A 27,755-nucleotide genomic window follows, 5' to 3' on the forward strand; every position below is an offset into this window, starting at 1 on the left:
TGTCTTCATATAGCCCCTGCCTCCATGACAATATGGGTAGAGCGAGGAATCGAGACCTAGAAGTATCTCTAGTTGGGTGGTGGGGAGTAAATTGGAAGCTGGAGCTAGGGAAAGAAAAGCAGAAGAAGCCCCCATTTTTACTCACAAGTTCTCAGAAAGATTCTTGGAGCTCTGCAGCAGCTGTCCTCGTCCCCAAGAATCCCTCTGTATACCCAGAGGGCTCCCAGGCTGACACTGGAAACCATTGTATGGGGTTTACGTGAGGCAGGACCAAAATCATCTGACTTTTCTTGCCTGGGCAGGAAGGGGCCCTGGTCACTGCAGGGTGGGGTAGGCATGGAGTGGTAAAGGAGCCTGGGGAGCGGAGACAAGGGCTTTTTCCAGCAGAAAGAGGTGCATGGTTGGAAGAGGGGAGGGTGGAGAAAGAGAGGCAGCACAGCCATCTTCAGCCAGCCACGCGGGAGGTGGAAGGAAGACAGGCGCGTTCCCGTGAAGCATGAATTGATGCTCATTCTTTGTGCTGGGTTCAGGTTGCAGAGACGGCCCCCTGCATCTTGGGAGGGAGTCAGCCTGGTAGAGGCTGGGCTTGGGACACAGGGCAGGCAGGCCGCAGCTGTTTGTGCCAGGCCGACACTTAACTGAGTGCTGACAAGCAGAGAAGTGAGCAGAATTTGCTGCCATTGCTCACCCCCCTCTCCTCACAGGTCCAGCCGTTTCTGAGGACCTACAAGAACAGCATGCAGGTACCTGCCTCTTGCCTCCTCTTGACTCACCAGGCAATGCAATGGGCAACCCCTGGGCTGGGACAGGCCCAACAGGACAGGGTGGGAAAGCGGGCAAGAGTTCTAGATGGGCATAAAGGCCACCCACCTGACCTTCAGATGGGGTAGTGGGCAGAGTAAATGCCGTGGATAACAGCTGGAAGGCATCCAGCCAACCCAATCACAGCTTCACTGCGACATAAGTGAAGAGAAATCCCCTTCCTTGTAGAGCTGGTGCAGAAGCAGGGGCAGGTGTGGAGTGGGGTCATTTGTTGCTGCCCTGATTCTTGCATTGGACGGTGGAGGGGTCTGAACTCGATGAGTGGACCTCGATCTGTGGCCGCTACGCAAAATCACCTAGGGAGCCTTCTTCAAAGGCCCTTTTGAGGCCCCTCCCTAGGAGTAGGACCCAGGAATCTGTATTTTTCAAAGTTCTTGGGGTACATCTGATAGCCAGTTTTTCTGGTCCCTTTCAACCCTGAGATTCTGGGATTTGTTCTATGCCCTTAGGGTCATGGGACCTGGCTGCCATGCAGGGACAGAGCCCCTTCTGCCTTGCACCCTACCTCAGGTAAGCCCCCTATGGCACAGCAGGACCCAGGGCCCCTCCACAGGGGCTGCTATGCTGGTGAGTCCTCTGACCTGACTTTCACACTCACTAAATGGCACAGTGACGGCCAGTGCTTGCTGTCTGCCTGGGTGGTCACCTGGGATGAGTCCCTGTTTCGCACCACTCTGGCTGGTGGTGACACCATGCCCAGCAGGCACCAAGGCACCTAGGACCAGGAGCCGTCTCCTGCCCACCTGCGCCTCTTAGAGCACAAGCAGAGGAGCCCTGTGAGCACACCCTTGGTGGCTCAGCCCAGAGGTGGGCCCCAGTCCCAAGAGGAAGCTGGCTCTGTGGCCCTAGGCTCTGCAATCACTGCCGCCTACAGTAGGGCCTGGAAGTTTCCCTGGGCTGTTCAGAAGAGATGTGGGGGCAAGGAAAGGCCCAACATGGCTATTCTCAGACTCTTGGTGGAAATTCAGAACCCACCTTTAAACGGGCTGCACGTCAGGTCCTGCACCTCGTCTTAATGTGGTTTGATGCCCGTCTAGTTGTGCACTCAGGCCATGGCTGTCATCTCCCATGACCACTGGCACTAAAATGAGCTCCTACTCTGCCCTGCCCTCCCTCCCACCTTTCCCTTCTTCCTTCCCTCCATCTCTCCTTCTCCCTTTCCCCACTTTTCTTCTTCTCCCTCCTTCTCCCTCTCTGCACCTCTCTTTCCCTGTAGGTCCAGGATTAGTTGTGTCTTACGGGAAAACTGTCCTCATATAACTTTGCCTCCATGGCACTGTGCACACCCAGCCCTGCATGGCCCCAGTGCTCATGCAGATTGTGTTTTGGATCTTGCTTGAAGCCAGAGGCACTAGAGTGTGACTGTGGCTTCCCTCCTGCAGCCCTAAGTGTGTCCACTTGTCTTTCCAGTGCATGCCCTGAGACCTGCAGACATCCAAGTTGTGGCTGCTCTGGGGGATTCTCTGACCGTAAGGACTCTTGGGCCCCAGGTGGTTTGGGGATAACTAGGCCAGCTCCAGATCCCAGTCCTCTTAACTTAAGGGTCTGCATGCCTGTCCTCTGCCTTATCTTGCCCCTCTACCTGGCTCTGTCAATCCAAGAGCATGCCAGTTATTTGATTTGCGGCCACTTTCTCAAACGGATATGCAGAGGAAATCTTTTTTGGGAGTGAACTGAATTGTTTCTGCGGGCAGAGATTTTGAACACCCAATAACACTTTTTTAATATATGTAAAAATATGTCATTCTGACTCAAAATTCTCCTAAACCTCCCTGTGCGGGCGCTCTTTTTCCTTTGGATTATGCTTTATAATCAGCTGAGACCCTCACATCTGTTTCTTCTTTGCATCTGCATGGAAAGCAGCAGGACTCCTTAGTTGTGGATGAAGCTCTGCTCCTAACTTCCAAGAAATGGGGCTATTTTACTATCCCAGATCATCACTTTCCAGGAGCATGTGCAAGGCCTTGAGAATACCTTACAGAATGCCCCAGAGGGAAAGAGGAGAAATGTGAGACTTAGGAGAGATCTGTCCACTGCAGTCGCTTAAGCCAATGAGCTCTCTCTTCATGCTCATAAAGAACGTAGGGGCATAACGCTGGGAACGACATTATTAACACTCTCTCACGTTTGTAAAACACTTGAGAGTTTTCAAAGTGGTTTTTACAACTGTAATCCAATTTGATCCCCAAAACACTCCCTGTGAGATGAGCAGGGCGTGTCCTCAGCTCAGCGAGGAGGCAGCTAAGAGTTGGGGAAGGCACACAGCTGGAGAGGAGGATGGCAGACTTAGAGCCAGGGGCTCCTGGTTCCATGTCTGCTCCTGCCACCACGAGTGCATTGGGAACCCCCTCTTTGGAAGCCCTGTGCATTCACAGCCTCCCTGTTCTCTGACTTGCTAATTTTCCTATGGACTCTGGTATATTTTCAAAGGCTGGCAATGGAATTGGCTCCAAACCAGACGACCTCCCCGATGTCACCACACAGTATCGGGGACTGTCATACAGGTAATGTTAACCTTTGACCTCTCCCAGCGTTCCCCCCACAACAGAGATTAGGTGTGGCTTTGTCTCCTGTAAATATGTAAATCCCAGAGGTCGAAGACTTGGTCTGGAAGGGGCTTTCAGAAAGAAAAAGCTATATATTTCTGCAAAATGTGAACATTTGGTGAGTGGAGAGGATATTTTACTGTTGATAATCTTTTTTTTTTTTTTGATTGTGCAGAGAAAGTAAACCAGGGTTCTTATCAGACTCCTGGGTCAGCAAATCCAACAGGAAATGCACCAGAAAAGCACCAAATCCCTGAATCTTCACCTCCCCGCTTGCATGTATACGTGTACACGTGGTGTTCCTACGTCTCTGTTTACTGTCTTTATGTGTTTATTCATGTTGTCTTGTAGTCACACAGCTGCCTTTACATATATGTACACATCTGCACAGAAAACCTCTGAAACCCATCGCACACTTCGAGAGGCCATAACCAAGACACAATCACAATCAGCCATGTCTTGAAAGATTAGCAATTCGACAAGAGGAAAGGGTGAGAAAGGGCATCCCGAACACGGAAGTGGAGAAGCTCAGGGTGTGTCAGGCGAGCGGTTGCGTGTAGATATTCTCAAGTTTCTTTCTCTCCTAATAAAGTTCTCATTCCTGTAGGCTTCAAAGTAAGTGGCGAGTAGCTCAGAATTTACCTGGGAAAACAACTAGAACGAAGCTGGCCACAAGGGGGCAGCGTGCTAATGAGTGGCGGAGCCAGGACAGCACCTTTGCTGCCGCCTCCCTTTTCTTCTGAGTCAGTTTGCTTCCTGGGGAAGTGACAGGGAGCAGGGAGGGGGTGATCAAGACTGTGAAGGTTCTCTGGCCAGACCTGAGCAGAGTCCCAGAGAGGATGGGTTTCCAGGGCGAGAGGGAGGCGCCATCACTCGGCCTGTACCACCCACAACGAGGACCTAGGTTGTCCTTAGCATGAGGACATCAACCTCTCAAGAACAGAGGTCAGTGCCTTCCTGCGCCAAGGTCCCTGCGTTTCCACAAGTCCTTGGTCAGGTACCTGGTCCTAACAGGCTGCCATGGAACAAATCAGAGCCTCACTGACTCACCATTCTGCTCCTAATGAGGCTACAAGAAAAAAAACCAGAGGAGAGAAAGCAGAGCTTATTACAATCAGGAAAGAGCATGAGGTTCTGGCAGCTGCACTTGGTCTCAGCTAAAGAAGGCAATGACCTCATACGATAGCATGGGAAACAAAAATCAAGCAGACGAACCACATTGCAGGTGATAGATACGCGACGTGCACCTGGTGGGGCAGCCTGGGGAAGTGAGGTGATGTGCCCTACTTTAAAACAGATCGACCAGCTGGGCTCCTGGGATTCAGATATGAACCAGCAGTCCTCTACTAAAAGTTTCTTTCTGCAGCGATGGGAAAATTCAGCCATTGCTCTGTTTCTTCCAACAAGTGAAGTCCATTACAGCCTAATGTCTCAATCTTTTAGTTCTAGCTCTAAGGCCTCAGGTTCAATGGCTGCTGTCCCTTTAAACCCTTCATTTGTCCTAAATGTTTCAAATAGCTGCCCCCAAATGCACGTGTGTTAAAGATGGAAGCTCTAGGTCGGGGTCTGAGAGACAGCTTGACACTTGGTAGAATACATAGACTACTGTGTCTCAAAGTGTGTTCCATGGAACATTAACTCCAGACCTGTTCCTGGAGAAGAGAAAATCCTTTGTATCTGAGGGGGAAACATTACCATAACCTTCCTTTGGGGAATTCATGTGTGTATTAGCATATTAAAGGCTCTCATAAGGCCTGCAATGCAGAAATCTATTTAAGTTTTATCTGTTTAACCCAATGTTTCCCTTAATTCCAGAACATTTTCTTTGTTCATAACACCTGTTAACACCTCCTGAAAGTGTTCACGTAGTAGACTTATCTGAGAAAAGCAATTTTTGAGCCGTTAAAGCTTCTAGATTGGACAAACTAGGCAATTAATGATACTAGATCAATTCAGAATGCAATTTGAGCCTCTTCCCCCTGGGAAACAAAGTGAAAAGAGTGGATCTCATGGAATTAGGGGAGAAGTAGACCCAGAATTCATGGGGGGTGGGTGGCTGTGAACAGGACCTGCAGAAGAGGCTCGGCTGTGAATATTTCCAAGGCCCCTTGACCTGTGAGATTCTGTAGTGAACGGTTCCAGCTTTGGCCAGCTTAACAATGTGCTGGGCCCCAAGGTCTTGAGAGCATTGCCTTTTCTTCCATTGAAATAAGTTCGCTTGTTTGGGACCATTCAAAGGATCAAAATAAAATTTACTTACCAAAAAAGTTGCCTTTGTTTTATTAACTAGGGGGTCAATCTCATATGACTGAAACTCCTTCAACAAATGTTACTGAGCATCTACTCTATTTTTCTGTACACTTTAGGTGACAACAGATGACCAGAGCCCAGCCATTGAGCTCTGTAACATAAATTGAGTGTAACATAAATGATATCCATCTGAAGGGTCTAAGGTGGACTAGCTGTTTGATATGGGTCTACTTCCTTTCACGTTTCATGGTTCTGATCAAAATGAGAGTTTGAATATTTTTGCGCTTTTGTGTTTATTTGTCATAATCCTTTTCTTCTGGAAGTTTTCACTTTAAAATGGAAGTCAGGGAGAGATTTTCATAGCCTGTTGGTCTTGATTAGCCACCATACTTGTTTTAAAATGAAGATACCTTTAAACAAGAAATTACAGTAGGAAGTACTTGATGCGTTTGTGTTTGTGTGTCTATGTTTATATCTTTATTGAAGGAGAAAAGGAGGCAGAATTAGAACACAAGTGATTGGCAGAGGTATATAAATTTATACTTCTTTTCAAATGTAAAATATTCTGATTGGGTGCCTTTAGTCCAGAAAAAGAAGGATTAGAAAGCAACAGCTTCATGCAGAGCTGGAAAAGAATCAGACGCTTAAACAAACGCCCATCCACGAGCAAGTTAGGCTCAGACATCTAACGGAAGGGTGGGGAGCGAGAACTGAGTGAAGGAGAAGGGTAAGATTTACGGCATCTGCCTTCTCTCTACCACCTGAATTGCTTGCAGAGCCTCTGACTTAAGTCCTTGACCACTCTGGCATGCAATAGTCCACTTCATTCCAAGCATTCCTTGAATGAAGAACAACTATGACTCATGGCCTGTCCCTTAGAAGTCTTTGCTGGTGGGCTGGAAGCTAAGGCCACGTTCTTAAAATCCATTGGCCTGGGCCAGGCGCGGTGGCTCACGCCTGTAATCCCAGCACTTTGGGAGGCTGAGGCGGGCGAATCATGAGGTCAGGAGATCGAGACCATCCTGGCTAACACGGTGGAACCCCATCTCTACTAAAAAACAGAAAAAATTAGCTGGGCATGGTGGCGGGTACCTGTAGTCCCAGCTACTCGGGAGGCTGAGGCAGGAGAATGGCATGAACCCGGGAGGCGGAGCTTGCATTGAGTGGAGATCACACCACTGCACTCCAGCCTGGGCGACAGAGCAAGACTCCGTCTCGAAAAAAAAAAAAAAAAAAATCCATTGACCTGGAATATAACATGCTGGGATTCGAAAAAGAGACACAGAAGAAAAAGAACAGTAAATACCATATATATGAATATCAGATTTTGGTAAAATAGAAATAGTACTTGTCTTCTGTGTGTCCTACTCAATTTATTAATAAATGCATAAAAGGAAACAAAATAGGGTGTACCTTGAAGTTAGATTAAATGAAAATTAGATGGGGCATTGAAAGGTAGTGAGCAGCCACCCTTCTGAACCTTCTATTGGAATTTACCTGACTGCTGAGCAGAGAAGAGCTTATCTATTTTCCAAAGGCTTCCAGCTCAAATTGGGTTTCAATGACTTTTAACAAGTTAATTAACCTCTGTGCACCTCATTTTCTTACTCTGTAAAATGGACATAGTCACATCTACATCACTGGCTTGTTGGGAGATGTGAAATCACAGAATCTAGTGCATGTCTGGGCACATAGTATATACTCAGCTAAGCATTCTCCCTCCTGATCTGGTAAAGAAACAGCTCTCTCATCTTCAAATCCTGGATTCGGTAGGGAACCAATATGTTAGGGGCTTAAAAATTTTCTCAGAATTCCTCAAACTCAGAGATGGGTCTGGCCCATCTCAAAGGTGCCGATGGGCACTAAGAAGGGTGGGGGCTGCTCTTGTGTAAAGTTCCTAGATTGATTCAACCAATATGTCTCTCCCTCTCATTCACTGGCTTGCTCACTCCCTACAGTGCAGGAGGGGACGGCTCCCTGGAGAATGTGACCACCTTACCTAGTAAGTAACCATCAGGGGCTTGAATCTGTCTACTGTTCCACCCATCTGGCCCCTTGGCTTCCCGAAAGTGCCTCCCAGGTAAGCAGCAAATGACATCTGCCTTATGGCCCAGCATTTAAGTAGGAGACAGGAGGCTATGAAAAAGCAGCCGAGGCAGGTAAAATAAACACCAGATTTAGAGCCTGAAGATCTGAGTTCAATCCCTGGTGCTTCAATCCCTGGTGCTGGGTTCAATCTCCGATGTGCTTGTCAGGTGACCTAGGGCAAGTTACCCGCTATTTTTAGCCTCAGGCTTTTCCAACAGGCCCAGGAGGTGCTGAGACAAATTAGGTAGTGACCCTTCAATGCACTGTGAATTGTATTAATACAATTTAATACAAGAGTGAGAGGCTCTTGCCACCCTGGCCCACCTAGTCATCAGGTCATGTCAACTTAGGGTGGTCCCAGCTTATGTCCAGGACACACACTGCCTCCCTGCCTCTCCCCAGGAAGCATGAGGATGATAACACAGCCCACTTTGGGGACCTAGGTCCCACAGTACCAGAGAAGCTATTCTGGCTTTCTGTTCTGAGCCGTCTGCATCCCATTCACCTTCTCTTCCAGATATCCTTCGGGAGTTTAACAGAAACCTCACAGGCTACGCCGTGGGCACGGGTGATGCCAATGACACGAATGCATTCCTCAATCAAGCTGTTCCCGGAGCAAAGGCTGAGTATGGCATTTGGGGAGGGAGGGAGCCTGCAGAGCAGGGAGTGGAATGTGGATAGTACCCTTTAAGACCATGGGGCTGGCCTCTATGTGCAAAGGGGCACTTAGCCACTTGTGAGGCTCAGGCTGCCCTCTTCCCTGCTGCCCCTGTGACGAAGGTTGTAATAGGCCAGAGAGGCTGTGGCCTTGGAGAGATGCGATGCCCCTATAGGTTCAACTCCTGACCTTGCCTTCATGTGCAGCATGTTCTCATAATTGGACGAATCGACTAACCTTATCCAATGTTTACAACTCACCAAGGCACAACAGTGCTAGAGAGATCCACTCCCCGCAGAACCTCACAAGTGGCAATTTCCCAAAAAGATCAGAGAGGGCCAACCAAATGGATGGGGCAAGCCTTCTGGCCCTAGAGGCATCTGGAGCAAAGAGTCATGTCCCCTCCCTAGCCCCATTATGGAGCTAACAAGAAATGGAATGGAGAAGCCCAGAGGTACCCAAAGAAGAGCAACTGCCCAGCCTCCTGGGGTGGGCTCCAAAGGGGCCCCCACCCTGCTCCTAGAGGCCCCAGCAGCCTAGGTCTTCTTGCTCTATGCAGCTCCTGGCTCAGCCATCTGAGCCTCTGTCACATGTCATCTTCTTGCTCAGGCCCACACCTTCTGGTTGAGGGGTGTGGCCCCCAGACCCACTCCCTCAGCCTGGAAAGACTCTTGGTAATAGAAACAGCTGGGGACAGATGGTCCCACCACCGTGTCCTAGGAGATCACCTTGCTATGGATCCATCCCACCCAGGTCTATAACGGGGCCCTGAACAAGTGGAAGTGGGGAGCACAGACGCCTGAAATCTATTCCTTCCATAAATTATAATTTTGGCCTTTTTTTAGATAGAGTCTCATTCTATCACTCAGGCTGGAATGCAGTGGCACAATCTCTGCTCACGGTAACCTCCGCCTCCCAGGTTCAAGTGATTCTTGTGCCTCAGCCTCCGAGTAGCTGGGATTACAGGCTTCTACCATCACGCCCAGCTAATTTTTGTATTTTTAGTAGAGATAGGATTTCACCTGTTGGCCAGGCTGGTCTCAAACTCCTGACCTCAAGTGATCCACCCACCTTGCCTCCCAAAGTACTTGGATTACAGGCATGAGCCACTGCACCTGGCCTTTTTTTGTTTTTAAGATGGGGTTTCACTCTGTCACCTAGGCTGAGTGCTATGGCATGATCTCAGTTCACTGCAACCTTCACCTCCCAGGTTTAAGCAATCATCCCACCTCAGCCTCCCTAGTAGTTGGGACTACAGGCATGTACCACTATACCTGGCTAATTTTTCTGTAATTTTTGTAGAGATGGGGTTTTACCATGTTGCCCAGGTTGGTCTCAACCTCCTGGACTCAAGCAATCCACCCACCTCAGCCTCCCAAAGTGCTGGGATTACAGGCGTGAGCCACCAGGCCTGCCACCTTCCATAAATTATAAACCCAAGCATGTGTAGAGCACATATGATTCCCTACCTCTTTTTGAAAGAACCATTTAGATAAGTTTACAAACAAAAGAATATACGTAAGAGAAAAATCGCAGCCATTGGAGGAAATAAAGAGGAAGCCTGTGTGTCGATATGAACATTTTTACGGTTATTATGTTTGAGCATCAAACTCAGCTTCCTGGCAGCCAGAGTGAAAAGAGGAAGCATGCTAGAAGTTTCATAGGTCTAATTTTAGGATCTAAACTAGTCTTCCAAAGGAGATGAATGGTCTCTTAGCATGGAATCCTAAAGGCCCTTTTGCATGTGGAGTCCCAGAAAGGTGACCATGAGCAACAAATATAATTGGCAGTACTTTGACTACAGCTGTAGGACAAACACATCATTGGCTTTTCAAATGATTATCTGTTGTAATAACTTTCCAGAAGAGGCAAGTCACTCCTGGTTTCTGAGCCTCGGGATCTCTGCCAGCTCATGCAGTGGGGATGATACTGTAGAAGCCTCTGGTTCAGGCCCTCTAGGAGGAAAACTATGGGCACTGTTCCTCAACAGAAGGATGGGTTTTCTCTCTTTCTCAGGGATCTTATGAGCCAAGTCCAAACTCTGATGCAGAAGATGAAAGATGATCATGTGAGTCAGATTTACTGTTATTTCTAAACATTAATTTTCTAACCCACTAAAGTTGTCTCCAAACGGAGTGGCCTGCTCTGAAAAGCAGTGAGCCCCATGTTATTAGAGGCATTCAAGCAGTGGTCGGACAGCCCCCTGACAGAGGTCCTGTGGAGGAGGGTATGTCAATGGAGAGAGCTTTGTTGCTGGGTACAGCGACACTGAAAATCCCTCCTGATGCTAAGAGTCTGTGGTCTATAAATAAACCTCTAAAATTCCTTCAGTTCAGAGATGCTGATTCCATTATTTCAAGTGGGCAAGGATGTTATAGAGGGTTGAATGGATTTCCTAGGGCAGGGATATTTTCATTTCCTTGTTGGAAATTATCAAGCATTTTCCTCCCTCCATATAGAGAGTAAATTTCCATGAAGACTGGAAGGTCATCACAGTGCTGATCGGAGGCAGCGATTTATGTGACTACTGCACAGATTCGGTAATTGGGGCCAGGTCCAGGCCTACTTGTTGTTCCTAACTTTGCCCAGTAGGCGTTGGAGATCTTCCCTGAGAACAGTTCCTAAAACCAATCCTAGGATTATCCACCTACACCTATGTCTGCACATATACACATACCACACACACACACACACACACACACACACACTTCTTACCCCACCACCCTCCAGGTCCTTGGCACCATCTCCATGTCCTAGGTGGTGAGGTAGCAGGTGGCAGATATATGGTATTTCTACTCCTCTCTCTTATAACTCCTGAGAATTCAGAAAGAGGAAACTGTAGCAAGCAATTGGAAGGAGGAGTCTCCACTTTCTGCTCCTGAACCAAAGCTCTGGCTGAAGGTTCCAGTCTTCCCACTGGCCCATCTTTGACAACAGCAAGTAGTCAACTGTTCATCTCAGATTTTGACATGGTGAGCTGGCCACAGCTGGAGGCTAGAGGGGGAACAAGTCCTCAGGGCTGGAGCCAGAAGGGAAGTTGAGAACTGCCCCACTGCCCTCCCACCCTAACCAGTTCCTCCTTTTCCTCCTTCCTGTCTCTTTCTAGAATCTGTATTCTGCAGCCAACTTTGTTCACCATCTCCGCAATGCCTTGGACGTCCTGCATAGAGAGGTGGGTGGGGGGCTTCCACAAGCTGGTAACAGCTCAAGCATGGTGAGGGTGAAGGTGGATGGGGGGAAAGAATGAGAGAAGAACCCCTTTCTCTCAAGGAGACAGCCAGGGGCATGGACTCCTTCCCTTTTCAGAGGTTGGGGTCTAACCCCAAGGAAACCTTATTTTATATGGAATCAGCCCAGAAGGGCCTCAGGTCTGAAGGAGGGAAGGCTGTTCCCTCACCACTACATGGGACACTCCTTGGTGGAATTGTCTAATGTCTCCCCACTACTATCCGGGACATTTTCTGGTGGTGGCAGCCAGGTGGCCCCCAGGCTGGGCACTGCCTTCTGAGCCACAGGGTGTGTCTAGAGCAAGCCCCTGTCTGGTCCTGCACCCAGCAGCACATTCCCCCTCCACCACCACCATCTTCTGGCAAGGACAAGCTGCCCTGGCTGCGTGAGACAGGGCACTCTGACCACCAGATGCTCCCCTGTGGGGGTTGAGTCTGCGTGCCTACTCAGCAGAGTTAGGCCAGTTTGGGCTGGAGGGAAGAGGTTGCCTATCTCACCGAAGGTAATTCTAATGTATCTGGGCTTGCTACATGATGGCTAAACAGAGATGATCTCTTAGTCTTTATTGTCCCACTCCAGGAGGTGCCATTGCCGCTGCAGCCCCTTTGGGTGGCACCCATGGAGTTGTGTGATGTACGGCCTGTAAGGCCCTACGAGGTAGCCCTGTATAGACTCCTCCCCAGAACTCAACTCCAGAAAGACCAAGCTGGATTGCTAAAGGAACCCATTCCTAGGGGCCCTGAGACAGCCCCAGGAAGAAGTGCCTGGAGCCCCCCTCTCATCTGCAGCTTTTCCCTTAGGTGCCCAGAGTCCTGGTCAACCTCGTGGACTTCCTGAACCCCACTATCATGCGGCAGGTGTTCCTGGGAAACCCAGACAAGTGCCCAGTGCAGCAGGCCAGGTAGGCAGGTCCTGGCTGTCCCCACACTGGAGATGCCCTCACCTCCTGGTCTGGCCCACATGCAGTGGTGATGCCTCAGGGTCTTTGTGACTTGGTCTATCCATGTGTCCAAGTCTGTAAAGGAGGACTTCTGCCAGAACGTCCCCTTCCAGAGGCTGGAGCCATGACTCCCCTGTTACCCAACTTCAAGGTGCCTGGCAGGAACTTCTATGATACCAGGCAGCCACAGAGGGGAGGGATCAAAGTTGGGACAGAGGCTGGTGTTTGAGAGACAGGATAGCCTAGACTGTGAACATGGGCAGTGGTTAGGGAAGTAGACATATGTGGTCAAACTGTAACAGAAAGCAAGGAAAAGGTACAAGCAACTCAGTTACCTTTAGGGGAAGAAGAGAATTAGGAGGGACACAGGGAGCTTCAAACTGGGAGTGTTTTGTTTCTTAAACTGGGCCATAAGTACATGGATGTGTGTTTTATTATTCTTTATATCTTACACATCTATTTACTCAGCAAATCTTACAGAACTTCCTGTGTACCAGGCATTGTTTCAAGTGCTTTAGAAATCTCTCTCTTAAGTAGATGTGATGGGTGTGAAATAATTCATGATGAAACCAAAGGGGACACAGTAGGGCACTCATGTGAAAGAAGGAGAGGTCTAAGGCATAGCATCAGAGGCCCCAAAATATCAGCTCCAACACCAGAGGATGCATTTTCTTTTTAATTAAACACTAAATTTTCACTGCCCAAATTCATTTGCTCAGCTGAATAATCGGTTGCAGGCCCAGCACCTGCAGTCCAACACTTGTGCTCTGTTGGTATGAGAGGGTGCTCATTCCCACACTGGCTCCCTCCCTCGGGCCATCTCCAGTGCCCCTGCCAGGCCTGAAGCCTGCCCCTGAGCATGTGCGCCAGAGCCTCAAGGCTTGAGTGCTCCTAAACCAGGGCGGGAGGGAGCCTCTCCACCCCTCCCCTGAACCTGGGCAATCAGAACCAGCCCCTGATGGAAGCCTGAGCTCTGGGGCCTCCTGCCTCCCCCTCTTTGTGCAGCGTTTTGTGTAACTGCGTTCTGACCCTGCGGGAGAACTCCCAAGAGCTAGCCAGGCTGGAGGCCTTCAGCCGAGCCTACCGGGTAAGACCAAGAAGGGCACCATGCTGTGTCCTCTCCCCTACGTTCACTCTAACACACAGCCCAGAGCCCCTAGAGGAGGCACACAGGGAAGGAAAAGCTGGTCAGGGATTGTGGGGAGACGGGGAGCAGCCTGGGTGCCTTCCTCTGTCTCACGTGACTGTGGTGTCTCAGGTGCCCTGGTTGGAATCATCCCAGTAGGATCCAGGTGGAAAAGCCCTCATGGCCCAGCTACCGTTGAGGGCTTAACCCCAACTCCTGGCCCGTAGCCCTGGATGCCTCATGAGACCACCTTTCCCTCCCCCACTCCCACTCCAAAGGCAGGTGCCGAGCCTCTGGAGGTTCTTCCCAGGTTTTTATCCCTTTTGGGACTTCCTGCCTAGCCCTTCAGAGAGAGTAGTCTACTTACAATCAAAACAAAAAGGTGACCCAACCTGTTTCCAAATTCTCTGGAAAGGGACTTGCCCTCAGGTGATTTGTGTTCTCAAGGGAAAGGCTGAGTCGGCCCCTCCATCCAGGGAGATGGACTGCCCACCACCCCTACTCTTGCCTCACTGGGTCCTGGGCCCACCCAGGGCCTGGGCTGAAGACCCTGTGCATGTGTCCCCAGAGCAGCATGCGCGAGCTGGTGGGGTCAGGCCGCTATGACACGCAGGAGGACTTCTCTGTGGTGCTGCAGCCCTTCTTCCAGAACATCCAGCTCCCTGTCCTGGCGGTATGTCCCCTGCCCTCACCCATGGTACTCTTTTAGAGGAAGAAATGCAAGGCAGAATTGCCAGTTGCTTCCACGAGCATGTGCATAAAATGGGAAAGACACAGCTCTCCAGACGCTGTGCTGGCAGGTGCAGGCTCCCTGAACGCCTGAGCCACATCCGTATGTGCGAGGCTCCCATGACCCCTGTAACAGCCTCCATTGTGTTGAGCACCTACTAGTGCCAGGCACTGTGCTTCCCATAGATAAAACTGTCACATCTGCCTTTGGAAATGAGTGTGATCATCCGCATGGAACACAGGTGCAGAGATGTGAAGCGTCCTTCCTAAGATCATTTAGGAAATAAGGGACAGGGAGGCCAACATGAACACAGCCAGCTCCAGATGACTAGTTTTCTGCCACGCACGTGGTCTCTCTCGTGTGCAACGCTGCGGTTATAAGGGAGCATTCTGGGGGTTCTCTGTTTCCACCCAGGCCATGCCCTTTGCCTGGCACTTCCACTCTGAACAGAAGAGATCTGTGAGTGGACCAGGTGAGGACTGAGGTCTGTCCCCCTGGGCTGCCATCCCAAGAGCCTCACCTAACTGGAAAGCAGGAAGGAGAGCAGCTCTATGCACCCCCAGCACCTCCAGATGAAGAGGCTGGAGTCAGGGGACCCAACTACCCAGGCCTTCCCCAAGGCTTTGTTCCATTCTCCCCACCAAGACTACCAGGACCAGCAGACCAAAAGCTGGGAAGTAGCTTTTCCCAGCTGGCTGGGCTAAGACTCTCTGCGGGACCAGGATCCCACTCCTTCATCTGTGGCATGGCCTCGGGCATTACATGAATGTGCCCAAAAATAAATACGACACTTCTAATTGAATAAGGGGCACTTGTAGGGTCAAAAAGGAAGGTTGGGGGTTGGCGTCACCCAAAACTATTCTTTGTGGGATCGCTCTGATCTCTCTGTTAAGGTGAATGGGCCCTGTGGTGGCTGGTGACCTGGAGCACTCCAGGGGAAGGAAGGTGTTGAGTGGTCAGTCCCAGGGCCAAGTCCGCTGGTGGTGGCTCCCTCTGAACCAATAGGATCTTGAGGGGGTATATTGGTCTCTTTCAGGATGGGCTCCCAGATACGTCCTTCTTTGCCCCAGACTGCATCCACCCAAATCAGAAATTCCACTCCCAGCTGGCCAGAGCCCTTTGGACCAATATGGTAAAATAAGTGGGGTGTTCCTTGTTCTCTGGGGTTCTAGTCTAGGGCAGGGCACCAGCCCCTATAGAATGGAGTCTTGCAAGTGAGGCTGAGGGGGCAGTGGCTGGTACATCTATAAACGTCTATGCAGTTGGAAATGCGGAGTCCTTAAGAGTCTGCTCAGCCTGGGCTCAACTGCACCCTCTCCTCAGAGCTTTGAACTCTGAGGAGGGACCTCTCTACAGAAATGCAAGCCCAAAACCCCATATTCATTCCACTTTCCCTATGTGCCGGCCACCATGTTAGGCAGTTTAAGCCACGTTATCTCATTTAAGGCTCTGCATATCCCTGCTAGAGAAGCATGACGAGTCTCCAAGGAAGCTACTCCCAGAGAAGCAAAGCGACTGGCCCAAAACCCCACGGCTGGCAACTGGCAGAGCCAGAAGTGGGAGCCAAGCCCCCTGAAATCGAGTTCTGAGCTTTCCCCACTGCAGGATTCTGCCAGGGAATGTTCACTTCCATGGAAACAAACTACTACACCCGTGTCTCTCTTTTCTTCCCTGATCAGCTTGAACCACTTGGAAGCAAAACAGAGACCCTGGACCTGAGAGCAGAGATGCCCATCACCTGTCCCACTCAGGTAGTAGGGGAGGACCTGCCTGGCTCCTCTCCACAAACCAGGGCACACAGCTCGCCCTACCCACTTCGTCCTCCACCACAGCTTCCTCAGTACCCATCTTGCCCCCTTACTGAGGCCTGAGAGATTTGGAGGATGGAGGGGAGTCCATGAGGATGGACAGGGGAGGTGAGAGGGGAGACAAGAGTGCAGCTGTCATTGGGAACAGGAGATGCAGCAGGGAGAGGAGGCCTGGGCCCCAGCAGAGGGAGAGGATCCCGGTGAGAAAAGTGGGCTCCTGAGAGAGGAAATCAGGATGCCAGGAAAATGGCAGGAGGGCTTCTCTTAGCAGTGGTGTTTGGGGCAGATGAAAAAATCTGACTGCAGGTTAGAGGGCCCAGGCAGGAGCCAGGCAGGCTTAAGAGCTGTGGTTGGAGAGAGGAGAGCCTGGATTAGGGAGATTCCACAAGGAAAGGATCACAGAGGACAGCAGCAAAGGGCAGAGCCCAGAGCTGTATGGAGGAGGGACGAGGGTGGGCCTACCAGGACACGGCAGCTCCAGGCTCCTTTTAAGGAGGAATCCGTAAGTGGTTGTTAAGCTTGACTTCAGGCCTGGGGTGGGGGCAGGTTCTCATTGTCTTCAGCTCCTGTTTCTAGGCCCGGTCTTATGGCTTTTTAACCAAATAAGGCCAAGGCCAGAAAACCCTCAGCAGCAATAAAAGCAGAAGGCCTGACCCAATCTGGGAGGCTGGGTTTCCCTCCTAGGTCGGCCACACCACCCTCTCCCACCCTCCCTGCTGGGGAATGGACCTGCAGCTCCCCCATGTGTCTGCTGGGAATCCTGAGAGAGTGGGCACCCCTGTTCACATGCCTGCTCCCTGTCTGCTGCCTGCCCTACCCCAGTCTTGGGCTCAGGCTCAGTCTTGTGTGCCATCAGCCCCATCAGGAGAGCAAGAATGGCAGGAAGAAGGGATGGGAAGTGAAGACAGTCGTAGCAGAGGGCTCAGTTGCTGGGTCTTGTGCTTGGAGCTAAGGAGATTGTCAGATTCTGCAACAGCTAGTGCAACACAGATGCCTCTAGTCCAGGTGGTCAGGTGCTGGCCAAAGGCCTGGAGCAAAACCTTAGAGGCCCCTACTGTGCCAGGTGTAAACTCTTTAACTGCTTTCCTAAGGATGCCTGGGGGTTCTAGGGGAGCAGCCAGGGACCGTGGATAGTGGGGGCATTTGGGGACTCAGAAATAGCCATATTGTAGATATGTCAATATTTTACCAACCCTATAGCCATACTGAATATCAGCCATGGAGGGCCCTTTCCAAACTGTCCACTCCCCTTCCATTACATAACAAAAGCAGCCATCATTTGCTCTTTCTTTCAACAAACGTGTATTGAGTACTGAGTTGGAGCCTAAGCACTGGGTCAGGGAGAGCCCTGTCACCCTGGGCTTCGAGGCAACCACTTCCAGGCTTTACCCCAGATCAGGCAGAGACCCCCAAAAGGAGGCTGCTCCACCCAGCAGCATCTTAAGCTGAGTGGGCTCAGTGCCTCCCTTCTAGACAGAGCCCAATGGAGCCACTGCACTGATTTGCAGAGGTGAGCAGATCCAGCCTCGTGGAACCAGTAGAAGCCCAGCCCTGGTGAAGCTGTTGCTAAGCAACATTGGAGCCCATTCTGAAAGGGTCCATCTGTTGGCCAGCCCAACTTCACTGTGTTCTGAGCATTCTGCATTCCTCAGTCCCATCTGCTCCCTCCCATGTGCCTTGGAGTGATATAAAAGTCCACCAGCATCTCAGTGTGAGCTGACAGGGGCCAGGCAGCACCTATTTTTGTCCTAGATGTGTCTAAACATAGAGGCAACAGGCAACAGGCAAGACGCAGTGGGGGGCGGGAGGCAGGAGGCCGAGATGGCTGTGAGCATGAGCTTTCTCAGCCTCCTCCCTTCTCCCATCCGCAGTCTAACTGCTCATACGTTCTGTGTGCCAGGTAGGGTGACTTAACAGCACGCCATGGATTTCTGTTGTAGTTTCAAGTTGGACAAATTCTTTTACAGACAACTTTTGACTAGCCTTCTGTGGACTGAGCCTATACTCTGCCTTAATGGGCTCTCTGCCCACTCCTTTCCTAACCCCAGGGCAGCTGGCTGAACACCTGGTCCTTTTCTTAGGTTTCATTCTTTTTGACCTCTCTGAAGCCCTTGTCAAAAGTCACCACCTCCCCCTTGAAATTCACTCCTTCCTGGGTTTGTGGACACTAAATCGCCTTGATTTTTCTGGTCTTCTGTTTGCTTGCCTTTAATGACCCTCCTCCTCCCTTTCCCCAGTCTTGAAAATGTAGATATTCTCCAATTTTCATGTCTCCATTCTATTTTCTTTCCTTTTTCACTCACTTTTTGAAACAGGGTCTTGCTCCGTCTCCCAGGCTGGAAGTGCAGTGGCGCAATCACAGCTCTCTGCAGCTTTCAACTCCTAGGCTCAAGCCATCCTCCCACCTCAGCCTCCTGAGTAGTTGGGACTGCAGGCATGCACCACCATGCCCAGCTAATTTTGGTTTATTTGTTTTGGTAGAGGTGGGGTCTTGCCATTTTGCTCAGGCTGATTTTGAACTCTGGACTCAAGTGATCCATCAGCCTTGGCCTTCCAAAGAGCTGGGATTACAAGTGTGAGCAGCTGTGCCCGGCCTCTGTTTTCTTTTCTCTCTCTCCACATCCTCTCACTCTGAGACTTACCCATTTCCAGGATTTCCTGTAAAATTTCTTTGTGCTGGATTCCTCAGTCTCTCAATCTGTGTCTTCATTTCTCCTTTCCCGAACTCCAATCCTCTATTTCTGACCTTTAAAATACATTTCCCCTTGGATGCTCTATCTGGTATAAGGTTACCCAAAAGGCAGATTAATGTATGATCAAGCAGGAGGGGGCTGAAATAAGTTCATGTATCATACCCTATCTTTTCTTATGAGAAAAAGCCGAAGTTTATCAAATTCCCTTAAACTTAGTTTGTTGTTTAGCAGTGCTTCTGTATTGAATTACATATAAGTGACATTGTTATCTTTTTGACGCTCAGAGCTTCTAAATCCAATCCTGCCATGACCCCACCACCATCTCAAGCTTAACATTCATTCAAAAAATAATTTTCTGAGCAAGGAGTGTCTAAATAGGAACTAATTCTTTGTCTTCCCAAACTCTCTGTTCCTTAGGAGTTCTCTATTTCTGCCAACTTCATTAGGGTTTTCAAGCTCTACAGGCATGAAATGTCAGGGACCCTATCTAATCGGATTCTTACCAGTCCTCCAGAATCTAATAGGATTCTTCCCACCTGTCCCTCTTCCTTTTCCCACTGCCACTGCAGGGGCTCAGATTCTCATCACTTTGTACGTTAAAGGCTAACTAGTCGCACCTTCCCACCATGAAACAATAGACTTATGTAATCTTAGGTTCTCAGTGGGGAGGGCCTTAGACTTCTGTGGATGCAATCTCTCATAGAATAATGGAATTCTTCTACCACATCCCTCCCAAGACACCCTATGGCCTCTGCTTAAATGTTCACACTTTCTTTTTTATTTATTTATTTATTTGACTTTAAGTTCCAGGATACATGTGCAGAAGGTGCAGGTTTGTTACATAAGTATACATGTGCCATGGTGGTTTGCTGTACCTATCAACCGGTCATCTAGATTTTAAGCTGTGCATGCATTAGGTATTTGTCCTAATGCTCTCTGTCCCCAAATGTTCACACTTTCTTACCACCTGAAATCAGTGTAGGTAAAGAACCAGCACTTTTTTTTTTTTAATTAATAGTGATGGGGTCTCACTCTGTTGCCCAGGCTGGTCTCAAACTCCTGAGCTCAAGCAATCTTCCCACACTGGCCTCCCAAAGTGCTGGGATTACATGTGTGAACCACCACACTCGGCCGGAACTAGCACTTTTTGAATGGAATGGGATAGAAAACCTCTTAGGACATCCCGTGAAATACCATTATGTCCTCCTGCCTCTGACTGCCACCACCCAGCTGAGAGTCTTCTCAGTTCCAGCCACTCATTGCACACATGGCTGCCAACCCCTGCCTCATATGGGTATTTCTCCTTGGAATGTGGCCCCTTGTAAGGTGGTGACTGTACATCTGGTTTGATCCAACCAGCACAACCAGCGAAGAAAATCACCCCTCCTTCCCCATGGAACTACACCTGGTAAAGCAGCCAGGATGTTGATGGCCTTGTCCCACAGCCACTGACTCACGTTGCTGACTCACATCAGGAGGCTGGCTGGGCTCTGCCTCCCCAGGCAGCCCACACCGTCTTTGCATGGCTGGAACTACTAGACCGGTTCCTTGTTCTGCCATTCAGTCGGCCCCCCTTTCTACTCACGGGGGCTCCAAATCTAGCCTTCAAGAGCCAGTCAGGCTCAATCAAACCCCTCTTTCACGTCATCTGCTTTGGCTCCAGGCCTTTAAACCACTCTGACTCATGCATGCACCAAATGGTCAATGGTCAATAAACCCAGCTAAAAACAAGCCCAATAAAACCCAATAAAACCCATTAGACAGGAACATAGGAGTTGGAAAAAAAAGAAAAGAAGGGGAGGGGGAGGAAAGCCCTGAGGCACCCCGGCTGCCTGTCTGCCACAACCCTGGGCTGTAATTGTTCTTGCCATGGCCTCAGTCTGCAACACATTCTAGTGTCTCCTTGACCTCTAGCCCTCTAGCTCTGCCTCCCTTTCCCCAACCTGTAGATCTTGTGATCAAATAGATTCAATGAAACACATTGTCCAGTTGCACTCGCAGCACTTCCAAAAAGGTCAAGTTTGTCCTTCCCTCAGTGCCTCCCATTCTGGTCACGGTAGGACTGACTCCAGCCCCTGGACCCTAAGCTGAGTCTGGGCTCCTTTGACGTGCAGGGAGAATGCCACTGAGTCTTGTCTCTGAGGACCCTACCTCTCCAAATCTTGCCTCAGTTCCTCAGCAGGTACTACACTGACTGGCCATGCCATTCTCTGATGCTTCACTGCCTCAGCTTCTCAAGTCTGTCTCCCCACCTGAGCCAATTGTGAGTTTCTCTCTCTCCTCCTCTCATCCTGGCACCTAGAAATGCTCTCTAACGCTTGAGCTGCTCAACCAGCATGGGTCACTTGTTTATAGCATGCTCCCAGATCGCCCTCTTTGTTGGTGAATGCTCAGGGAATGCTTACTGTTAACCCGAGACAAGCCCAAGTAGCTACATGGACCTGCCACCATAAGCCCTCTCCTGTCTTATGCTGTTGTAGAGGGTCCAGGGCTCACTTCTCCCACTTGGCCCTGAGTACCTCTCCTTGAAAGGATGTCAGGGGCTGGGCGCAGTGGCTCACGTCTGTAACCCCAGCACTTTGGGAGGCTGAGGCGGGCGGATCACCAGGTCAGGAGATCGAGACCATCCTGGCTAACATGGTGAACCCCCCGTCTCTACTAAAAATACAAAAAATAAAAATAGCCATTTGTGGTGGCAGGTGCCTGTAGTCCCAGCTACTCGGGAGGCTGAGGCAGGAAAATGGCATGAACCCAGAAGGCAGAGTTTGCAGTGAGCCGAGATCGCGCCACTGCACTCCAGCCTGGGCAACAGAGCAAGACTCCGTCTCAAAAAAGCAAGCAAGAAAGAAAGGATATCGGTTACCTGTTTCAGACAGGAATGCTGAGACCAGGGAAAGGGGAGACTTGTCGGGTGCCTCAGGGAACCAGTATCTGAGCTGGGGGCTGAGAGCTCTGTGTGGGTGGACTCTGTCCTCCCAGTCGCTGCTGAGTCCCTCTCTTCCTTTCCCGCTGTCTGACCAACAGGGTTTTTGTTGGCCTGACCTCCAGTGTGAGGAACGGAACCAGGCAAGAGGCTTGTCCAGTCAGCTCTGGCCCCAGTTTGGCATTCATCACTTGTTCCCTAACCTGGAACCCGTCCCTTCCTCACTCTGGGGCTCAGCAGCTGCTCATCTATAAAGTGGGGCATTTGGGGGTTGCAAAGTCAGTCATCTACAATGCCAGGCAAGAACATGGTTGCGTACATGTGGTCAGGTATGAGACGAGATCACTTTTCCAACATTCTGGTTTTCCCTTTTTTTTTTTTTTTTTGAAACAGAGTCTTGCTCTGTTACCCAGACTGGAGTGAACTGGCATGATCTCATCTTACTGCAACCCCTGCCTCCCAGGTTCAAACAATTCTCATGCCTCAACCTCTCAAGTAGCTGAGATTACAGATGTGTACCACACCTGGATTTTTTTTTTTTTTTTTTTGTATTTTTAGTAGAGACAGGGTTTCACCATGTTGTCCAGGCTGGTCTTGAACTCTTGGCCTCATGTGATGAACCCCCCCTTGGCCTCCCAAAGTGCTGGGGTTACAGGTGTGAGCCACTGTGCCCAGACTAATTTTTTTTTTTTTTATTGAAACAGAGTCTCACTCTGTTGCCCAGGCTGGAGTGCACTGGCACAATTATAGCTCACTGTAACCACAAACTCCTGGGTTCAAGCAATCCTTCTGCTTCAGCCTCTTGAGTAGCTAGGATTACAGGCACATGCCACCATGTTGAGCTAATTTATTTTTTTAATTTGTCGTAGAGATGGGGTCTTGCTATGCTTCCCAAGCTGGTATTAAACTCTTGGCCCCAAGCAATCCTCCTACCCTGGCCTCCCAAAACGCTGGGAATACAGGCATGGGCCACTGTGCCAGCCTGGTTTTTTCTTCTTGTTCCCATTTTATTCTCACATTTTCAGACCATGGGCTTACTACTCCACTGAGCACATTTTGTGAGAGTGCTCACAGCCCTGGGCCCGGTTGCTGTTTCCTGATCTCAGTCTTATCAACTTGATCTTGCTTTGCTGTCATTTATACATTTTCTCATTAGCTTTCTCCCCATTTCTTCTTTGTCTGCTTCCTTCTTCCTTCTTTAACTAACTCCTCACCTGCAACTGGGGGGACTTGGATTCTTGACTGGGCTTATGTGAAAACTGATTGTAAAACAGATAGGTAAGTAGGGAATGAGGAGGGTGTTTTACAAGAAAAAAAAAATGACTAAGATACAGGAACCCAACCTAAAGAGGAAAAGACATACAGTTCAAAGGAGGCAGAAAGAAAAACATTACAGATACTCAAATATATTGATAATCATAACACTTTCTGGAAGATTAAAAAAATGCTGAAACATGAATCCCTTGCTAGAGAAATTACAAAGCCAAGAAAATAGATAGGTCTGAGGATTAGGGAGCTGTTCAGTTGCTAGGAGGAACACAAAAGCACAGACCCCAGACTACAATGGGTATGAAACCCTCTGCACGCCTTTTGTTGTCCATCCCTTGCCAAAGCTGTTATGTAAAACCCTCCGGGGGAATGAATGAAATTATGTTTATACAGTTCTTTCTATATAAGTGCAGAAGAATCATGTTAAATAAATCTACAGGGCAGGATTGTTAGTTTTTCTCCTTCTCAAGCAAACTTCAGTGCTGTCAGATAACTTCTCCATGTGTTTTTTTTTCTCTTAGAATGAGCCCTTCCTGAGAACCCCTCGGAATAGTAACTACACGTACCCCATCAAGCCAGCCATTGAGGTAACCCCTGACTCACATCTGCCTCTCTCAGACACAAACCATTTCCACCTGCCAGGGGCTCGGGTGTGGTACAGGTTTCAGAGTATTCACTGAAGCAGAAATGTACTTCTTACATACTGGGGATTGGAATGTACAGAAAAGGCTCCCGGACCACGAAGCCCCAGGATTGTCCTAACATGTTCTCAAGTTGCTTACCTGACGTCAGCCCCCAAGCAGAGGAAGTGTCTATGGATCGATTTTCTTTGACCTTGGCAATCCTGGGCTCACAGACGTGGTTACTGCTTAGGCAGCTCAGCCTCTCAAGAGGGAGAGGCAGCTGGTGTGATGTGGCGTTGACTTCTTGGAAGGTGGAGGCTGAGTGGGAGGGAACTACAATTCTGGGGATGGGACCCAAAAGGAAGTGGAGGCACGTTCATGTTCCTGTGGGCCCCTAGGCCTTGTTTGGTTCAAGTCAATCATTCTAGTGCTGAGGATTCAGAGCCCATGGTTAATTCCATTGGATTAACCATGTCTGTGAGCCTAGGACGGCCACTGCAAAGACGGCCTGGAGGACCCCGGACTATACCATGACTGGCAGTCAGGCCTGGTCCGGATCAGGTCTGTTGGTCACCAGGATGGGGTTTGACCCGCAGTTTCAGTTTCACACCTATATTATATCCAGTCTCATGTTAGGGGCTAGAAGGCATGCAGAGAAGTATCGAACATGGTCCGGACCAAGGGAAGTGAGAGCCCAGTAGAATTTCACAATTATTGAGCACATACTATGTGCCAGACACTATTCCAGGAAGACAGAAATGTTAACCAGACAGATGGATCCCGGCCCTCACGTAGCTTACAATCTACTGAGAAAGGTGTCTTATATACATGGCTAGGCATGGTCATTTCAGATAGTGATGACAGCTCTGAGGAGCGTGATGGGGCTGGGGCAAGGGAGGCAAATTCAGGTGCACCATGCAGGCCAGGCCTTCCTGAGGTGAGATTTAAACTGAGACATGCATAATGAGGAGACACTTGCTATACAGGGAGCCAGGAACACAGTCCCAGGCAGAAGGACCATGGACCACACAGGCTCAGAAGTGGGACTGTGTTGGGTGTATTTGGGGAAGAGAAAGAAGGTCAGAGTGGCTGGGGGCATGAGAATGAGGTGGAGAGTGGGGGAAATGAGATCAGGAGTGCCAAGGAGCCAGATCACACAAAGCCTGAATTACTGAGTAAAACCACTGGATTTCAAGTGGAGAAAGATGGGAAGGCATTGGCGGTCTCAGGAGAGAGTGACATGATCTGGTTCACGTCTTTCAAAGATCTCCCTGACTGCTATGTGTAGAATGGGTTGGCCATCAGCAGGAGTGATTGGGGAAAGACATTTTATAAGCCAGCTGAAGAAACTAACCCATATGAAATCATTAAGAACTATTGGATGCTAAGCTCTGGGGTGCAAGCAATACCAGATTGCTGGCTGCGGGTTATGCTGTGTCCAGCCTCTCTGAATTTTCTCAGGCTCACGTTAGCCCAGTGGAGGCTTGTCCTCATTGAACCAGTGACCAAATTCCCTGAGAATTGAAATGTCAGCTGCATCTTGTGAATCAGGCATTTCTTCATTTATTCATTTACCTATTGGATGCCTATGTAGAGTGGGCACTGCACTAAGTGCTCGGTAGACAGTGGTGAGCCGAATGGGTCTGGATCTGCCCTCTTGGTTCTTCAGTCTCATGCATCTTTGCTTTTGCTGCTGGAAGAGCTAAAAATCCCAGAGCTAGAAGGGCGTGTGTTTGTTTTAACAGCTTTCTACTCAAAGTAACCACAGAAACAAAATTCTGTCATCTGAGGTAACGTGAATGAGCCTAGAGGACATTACGTTAAGTGAAATAAGTCAGGCACAGAAAGACAAATACTACATGTTCTCACCATATGCGGAAGCTTAAGAAGTTGACTTCACAGAAGTAGAGTATAAATAGTGGTTATTAGAGGCTGGGAAGGGTGGATGGTGGTTGGGGAGTAGAGATAGCAGAAATTGATTAACAGAAAATTACAGCTATATAGGAAGGAGAATTTCTAGTGTTTTATAGCACAGTAGGGTGACTATAGTTAACAGTTTACCATATATTTTCAAATAGCTAGAACAGCAGATTTTGAATGTTCCCAACACAAAGAAATGGTAAATATTTGAAGTGAGGGATAGGCTAATTACCCTGATTTGATCACTGCACATTGTAGAGATGTATCAAAATATCACACTATGCCTCATAAGTATGTACACTTAATATGTCAATTAAAAATAATAAAAGCAAAACTAATAAAGTGGCCACAAAGAGGCTTTACCTGGGAGCTTTTTAGAAATGCAGAGTCCTGGGCACCACCCCAAACCTGCTGAATCAGAATCTGCAGCTTAAGATCTTCAGGGGATTTGGATGCACTGATTTTGGGTGTGGTGCATGGTTCTTCCCTTGTGACGGATGAGCACGTTTCAATTCCAACCAGGATCTGTTAATCTACATGGAATATGCTTATCTCTGGTTCACCAACTATCTGAGATATATCTCATGTGCTGATGGCTGAATAACTTTTTACGTTGCATTTTCTGTGAGTATTTGTCATCTGCACACAAGCATGCTCTTGAGTTCATTAAACCTTTAAACAGAAGAAATCCATCAGAATGATGAATTGAGCAATCCCTTGGGAAAAAACCAAATTCCATAGGATTAAGCAAATAATATTTAAAAGAAGTTCCATTTTTGCTCTCTCATGATAGGAATATTTCAACAAGTCTTATCTTCATCATCTGACTGAACAGATGAGATGAGTTTTCATAGCATCTGGCAGTCAGACTCCTGGACAGTCAATCTGCTGGTCAAGCCCTACTCCATACTCAGTATGCATATATTTGAGACTTTGGGAAGATACTCAATTTTCCCCCAGATTTCTGGTACTAATCATTTCTATGCCCTCTGCTTCCCATCCCACTCCTTTCCCCAGCACCTGGAAAATATGTTCTGTATTAGAGACAAAGAAAATTGACTAAAAGCATCCAGGGTTGCTTACATCAATTTAAAAACATATAAGGAATAAGGCTGTTAAGTTAAATATGCAAAAAGACATACAGGTATCCAGAAAAGACAGGCAGAAACCAGGAGCTTTACAATTTTAAAATATTTTGTGTTATTATTCTAAAAATATTTTAATTATTGTCTAGGTTCTACCATTATAATTAGTGTCAGTTAGCTTAATTTTATAAAACACACATACCTGTAATCTCATGTTAGGCATCCAAATGCTGTGTTCCTTTGGGAGACCCACCTGTGTAGGACTTCATGGTTTTCTTCCCTGCTTTGGGGCAGCCACTGGCTCCATTCAAAGCATAGATATATGGGGATAAGAAAGGTGGTGTGTGGGTGCACATGTGGAGACATGCACTATGGGTTGTGCATAGGGGTAGCTAGACACACCCATTTCTCCCCCTTTAATTTCCCTCCTAGCCCACCTATAACTCACAGTTCTTTCCCTCACATGATCCTGTATGGTGACTCATTTCTAGCCTCCATCAAAAATCCCTTAGCTGGTTCTTCTTGGGCTGAAGCTTATCTCCCTGCACAATGAGTGTTGGGCACTGAATCTTTTCTCCTGTTGATTTAGAACTGGGGCAGTGACTTCCTGTGTACAGAGTGGAAGGCTTCCAATAGTGTTCCAACCTCTGGTGAGTGAAAACATCATCATCTCCTTCAATTAAGGGCCTTGCCGAATATCAGGTTGTGGGGAGACCCTGCAAACATACCCTGGAGCTTTAAGCAGGACTTGCTAATTCCCCTGCAGTGCAGACCTAGATCCTGCGGCCTGCCGCCACAGCTGGGCTTCCATGTGGAGGTGCACAGAGCTCTCCATTGGATGCTACTTCTTGTCTCCTTATAGTCCCAGTGGCAGTCCCTTAGGCCTCCCTGCCCAGTGAGGCAGGTAGAGTCAGGGATTGGGATCTACCTGCCTGTGCTACATGACCCTGCAGCTGGAACTTTCCTGGACCACCCCAATGTCAATCAGGCTCTTCTGAGGGTGGATGATAGCCATGGAACCCATTCCCTGCAGTGCCTTGGTTGGT

The 27,755-nt window shown here is 49.0% G+C and overlaps 1 protein-coding gene across 3 annotated transcripts in view, besides 11 other annotated features; it reads left to right on the forward strand.

Moving 5' to 3' along the window:
• The window catches only part of PLB1 (phospholipase B1), a 148,083-nt gene that overhangs the window by 94,369 nt on the left and 25,959 nt on the right, over nt 1–27,755 (forward strand). For 2 of the 3 annotated variants that reach the window (NM_001170585.2, NM_153021.5), the window contains 16 exons: nt 705–743; nt 1,272–1,332; nt 2,233–2,291; nt 3,253–3,326; nt 7,577–7,620; nt 8,224–8,332; nt 10,381–10,432; nt 10,824–10,904; nt 11,471–11,536; nt 12,393–12,493; nt 13,538–13,619; nt 14,227–14,331; nt 15,425–15,520; nt 16,068–16,139; nt 23,603–23,668; nt 27,299–27,359. In NM_001170585.2, coding sequence (NP_001164056.1) covers nt 705–743; nt 1,272–1,332; nt 2,233–2,291; nt 3,253–3,326; nt 7,577–7,620; nt 8,224–8,332; nt 10,381–10,432; nt 10,824–10,904; nt 11,471–11,536; nt 12,393–12,493; nt 13,538–13,619; nt 14,227–14,331; nt 15,425–15,520; nt 16,068–16,139; nt 23,603–23,668; nt 27,299–27,359 — 1,168 coding nt within the window. The remainder of the gene's footprint in view (nt 1–704; nt 744–1,271; nt 1,333–2,232; nt 2,292–3,252; nt 3,327–7,576; nt 7,621–8,223; nt 8,333–10,380; nt 10,433–10,823; nt 10,905–11,470; nt 11,537–12,392; nt 12,494–13,537; nt 13,620–14,226; nt 14,332–15,424; nt 15,521–16,067; nt 16,140–23,602; nt 23,669–27,298; nt 27,360–27,755) is intronic. The other variant, NR_138141.2, reaches the window with a different exon arrangement.
• Nucleotides 77–1,043: an enhancer, noted in NCBI's record as "H3K4me1 hESC enhancer chr2:28813372-28814338 (GRCh37/hg19 assembly coordinates)". NCBI's record gives its function as "activates a minimal SCP1, AML or CMV promoter by ChIP-STARR-seq in primed H9 embryonic stem cells {active_cell/tissue: H9 hESC(primed)}" and the evidence as "EXISTENCE:reporter gene assay evidence [ECO:0000049][PMID:30033119]".
• Nucleotides 6,334–6,628: an enhancer, noted in NCBI's record as "tiled region #1316; HepG2 Activating DNase unmatched - State 20:ReprD, and K562 Activating non-DNase unmatched - State 21:Repr". NCBI's record gives its function as "activates a minimal TATA promoter and a strong SV40 promoter by Sharpr-MPRA in HepG2 and K562 cells {active_cell/tissue: HepG2 | K562}" and the evidence as "EXISTENCE:reporter gene assay evidence [ECO:0000049][PMID:27701403]".
• Nucleotides 15,849–16,480: an enhancer, noted in NCBI's record as "H3K27ac hESC enhancer chr2:28829144-28829775 (GRCh37/hg19 assembly coordinates)". NCBI's record gives its function as "activates a minimal SCP1, AML or CMV promoter by ChIP-STARR-seq in naive H9 embryonic stem cells {active_cell/tissue: H9 hESC(naive)}" and the evidence as "EXISTENCE:reporter gene assay evidence [ECO:0000049][PMID:30033119]".
• Nucleotides 16,481–17,111: an enhancer, noted in NCBI's record as "H3K27ac-H3K4me1 hESC enhancer chr2:28829776-28830406 (GRCh37/hg19 assembly coordinates)". NCBI's record gives its function as "activates a minimal SCP1, AML or CMV promoter by ChIP-STARR-seq in naive H9 embryonic stem cells {active_cell/tissue: H9 hESC(naive)}" and the evidence as "EXISTENCE:reporter gene assay evidence [ECO:0000049][PMID:30033119]".
• Nucleotides 16,481–17,125: a biological region, named in NCBI's record as "H3K27ac-H3K4me1 hESC enhancer GRCh37_chr2:28829776-28830406".
• Nucleotides 16,958–17,125: a silencer, noted in NCBI's record as "fragment chr2:28830253-28830420 (GRCh37/hg19 assembly coordinates)". NCBI's record gives its function as "represses an EF-1alpha promoter that drives an FKBP-Casp9 reporter gene in an ReSE screen in phorbol 12-myristate 13-acetate-treated (for megakaryocytic differentiation) K562 erythroleukemia cells {active_cell/tissue: K562(+PMA)}" and the evidence as "EXISTENCE:reporter gene assay evidence [ECO:0000049][PMID:32094911]".
• Nucleotides 17,112–17,743: an enhancer, noted in NCBI's record as "NANOG-H3K27ac-H3K4me1 hESC enhancer chr2:28830407-28831038 (GRCh37/hg19 assembly coordinates)". NCBI's record gives its function as "activates a minimal SCP1, AML or CMV promoter by ChIP-STARR-seq in naive H9 embryonic stem cells {active_cell/tissue: H9 hESC(naive)}" and the evidence as "EXISTENCE:reporter gene assay evidence [ECO:0000049][PMID:30033119]".
• Nucleotides 20,235–20,504: an enhancer, noted in NCBI's record as "active region_15518". NCBI's record gives its function as "activates an Ori minimal core promoter by ATAC-STARR-seq in GM12878 lymphoblastoid cells {active_cell/tissue: GM12878}" and the evidence as "EXISTENCE:reporter gene assay evidence [ECO:0000049][PMID:35858748]".
• Nucleotides 20,235–20,568: a biological region, named in NCBI's record as "Sharpr-MPRA regulatory region 9151".
• Nucleotides 20,274–20,568: an enhancer, noted in NCBI's record as "tiled region #9151; K562 Activating DNase unmatched - State 20:ReprD". NCBI's record gives its function as "activates a minimal TATA promoter and a strong SV40 promoter by Sharpr-MPRA in K562 cells {active_cell/tissue: K562}" and the evidence as "EXISTENCE:reporter gene assay evidence [ECO:0000049][PMID:27701403]".
• Nucleotides 20,549–21,213: an enhancer, noted in NCBI's record as "H3K27ac-H3K4me1 hESC enhancer chr2:28833844-28834508 (GRCh37/hg19 assembly coordinates)". NCBI's record gives its function as "activates a minimal SCP1, AML or CMV promoter by ChIP-STARR-seq in naive H9 embryonic stem cells {active_cell/tissue: H9 hESC(naive)}" and the evidence as "EXISTENCE:reporter gene assay evidence [ECO:0000049][PMID:30033119]".

The sequence above is a fragment of the Homo sapiens genome, chromosome 2 (genome assembly GCF_000001405.40).
Source record: "Homo sapiens chromosome 2, GRCh38.p14 Primary Assembly".
Lineage (NCBI taxonomy): Eukaryota > Metazoa > Chordata > Mammalia > Primates > Hominidae > Homo > Homo sapiens.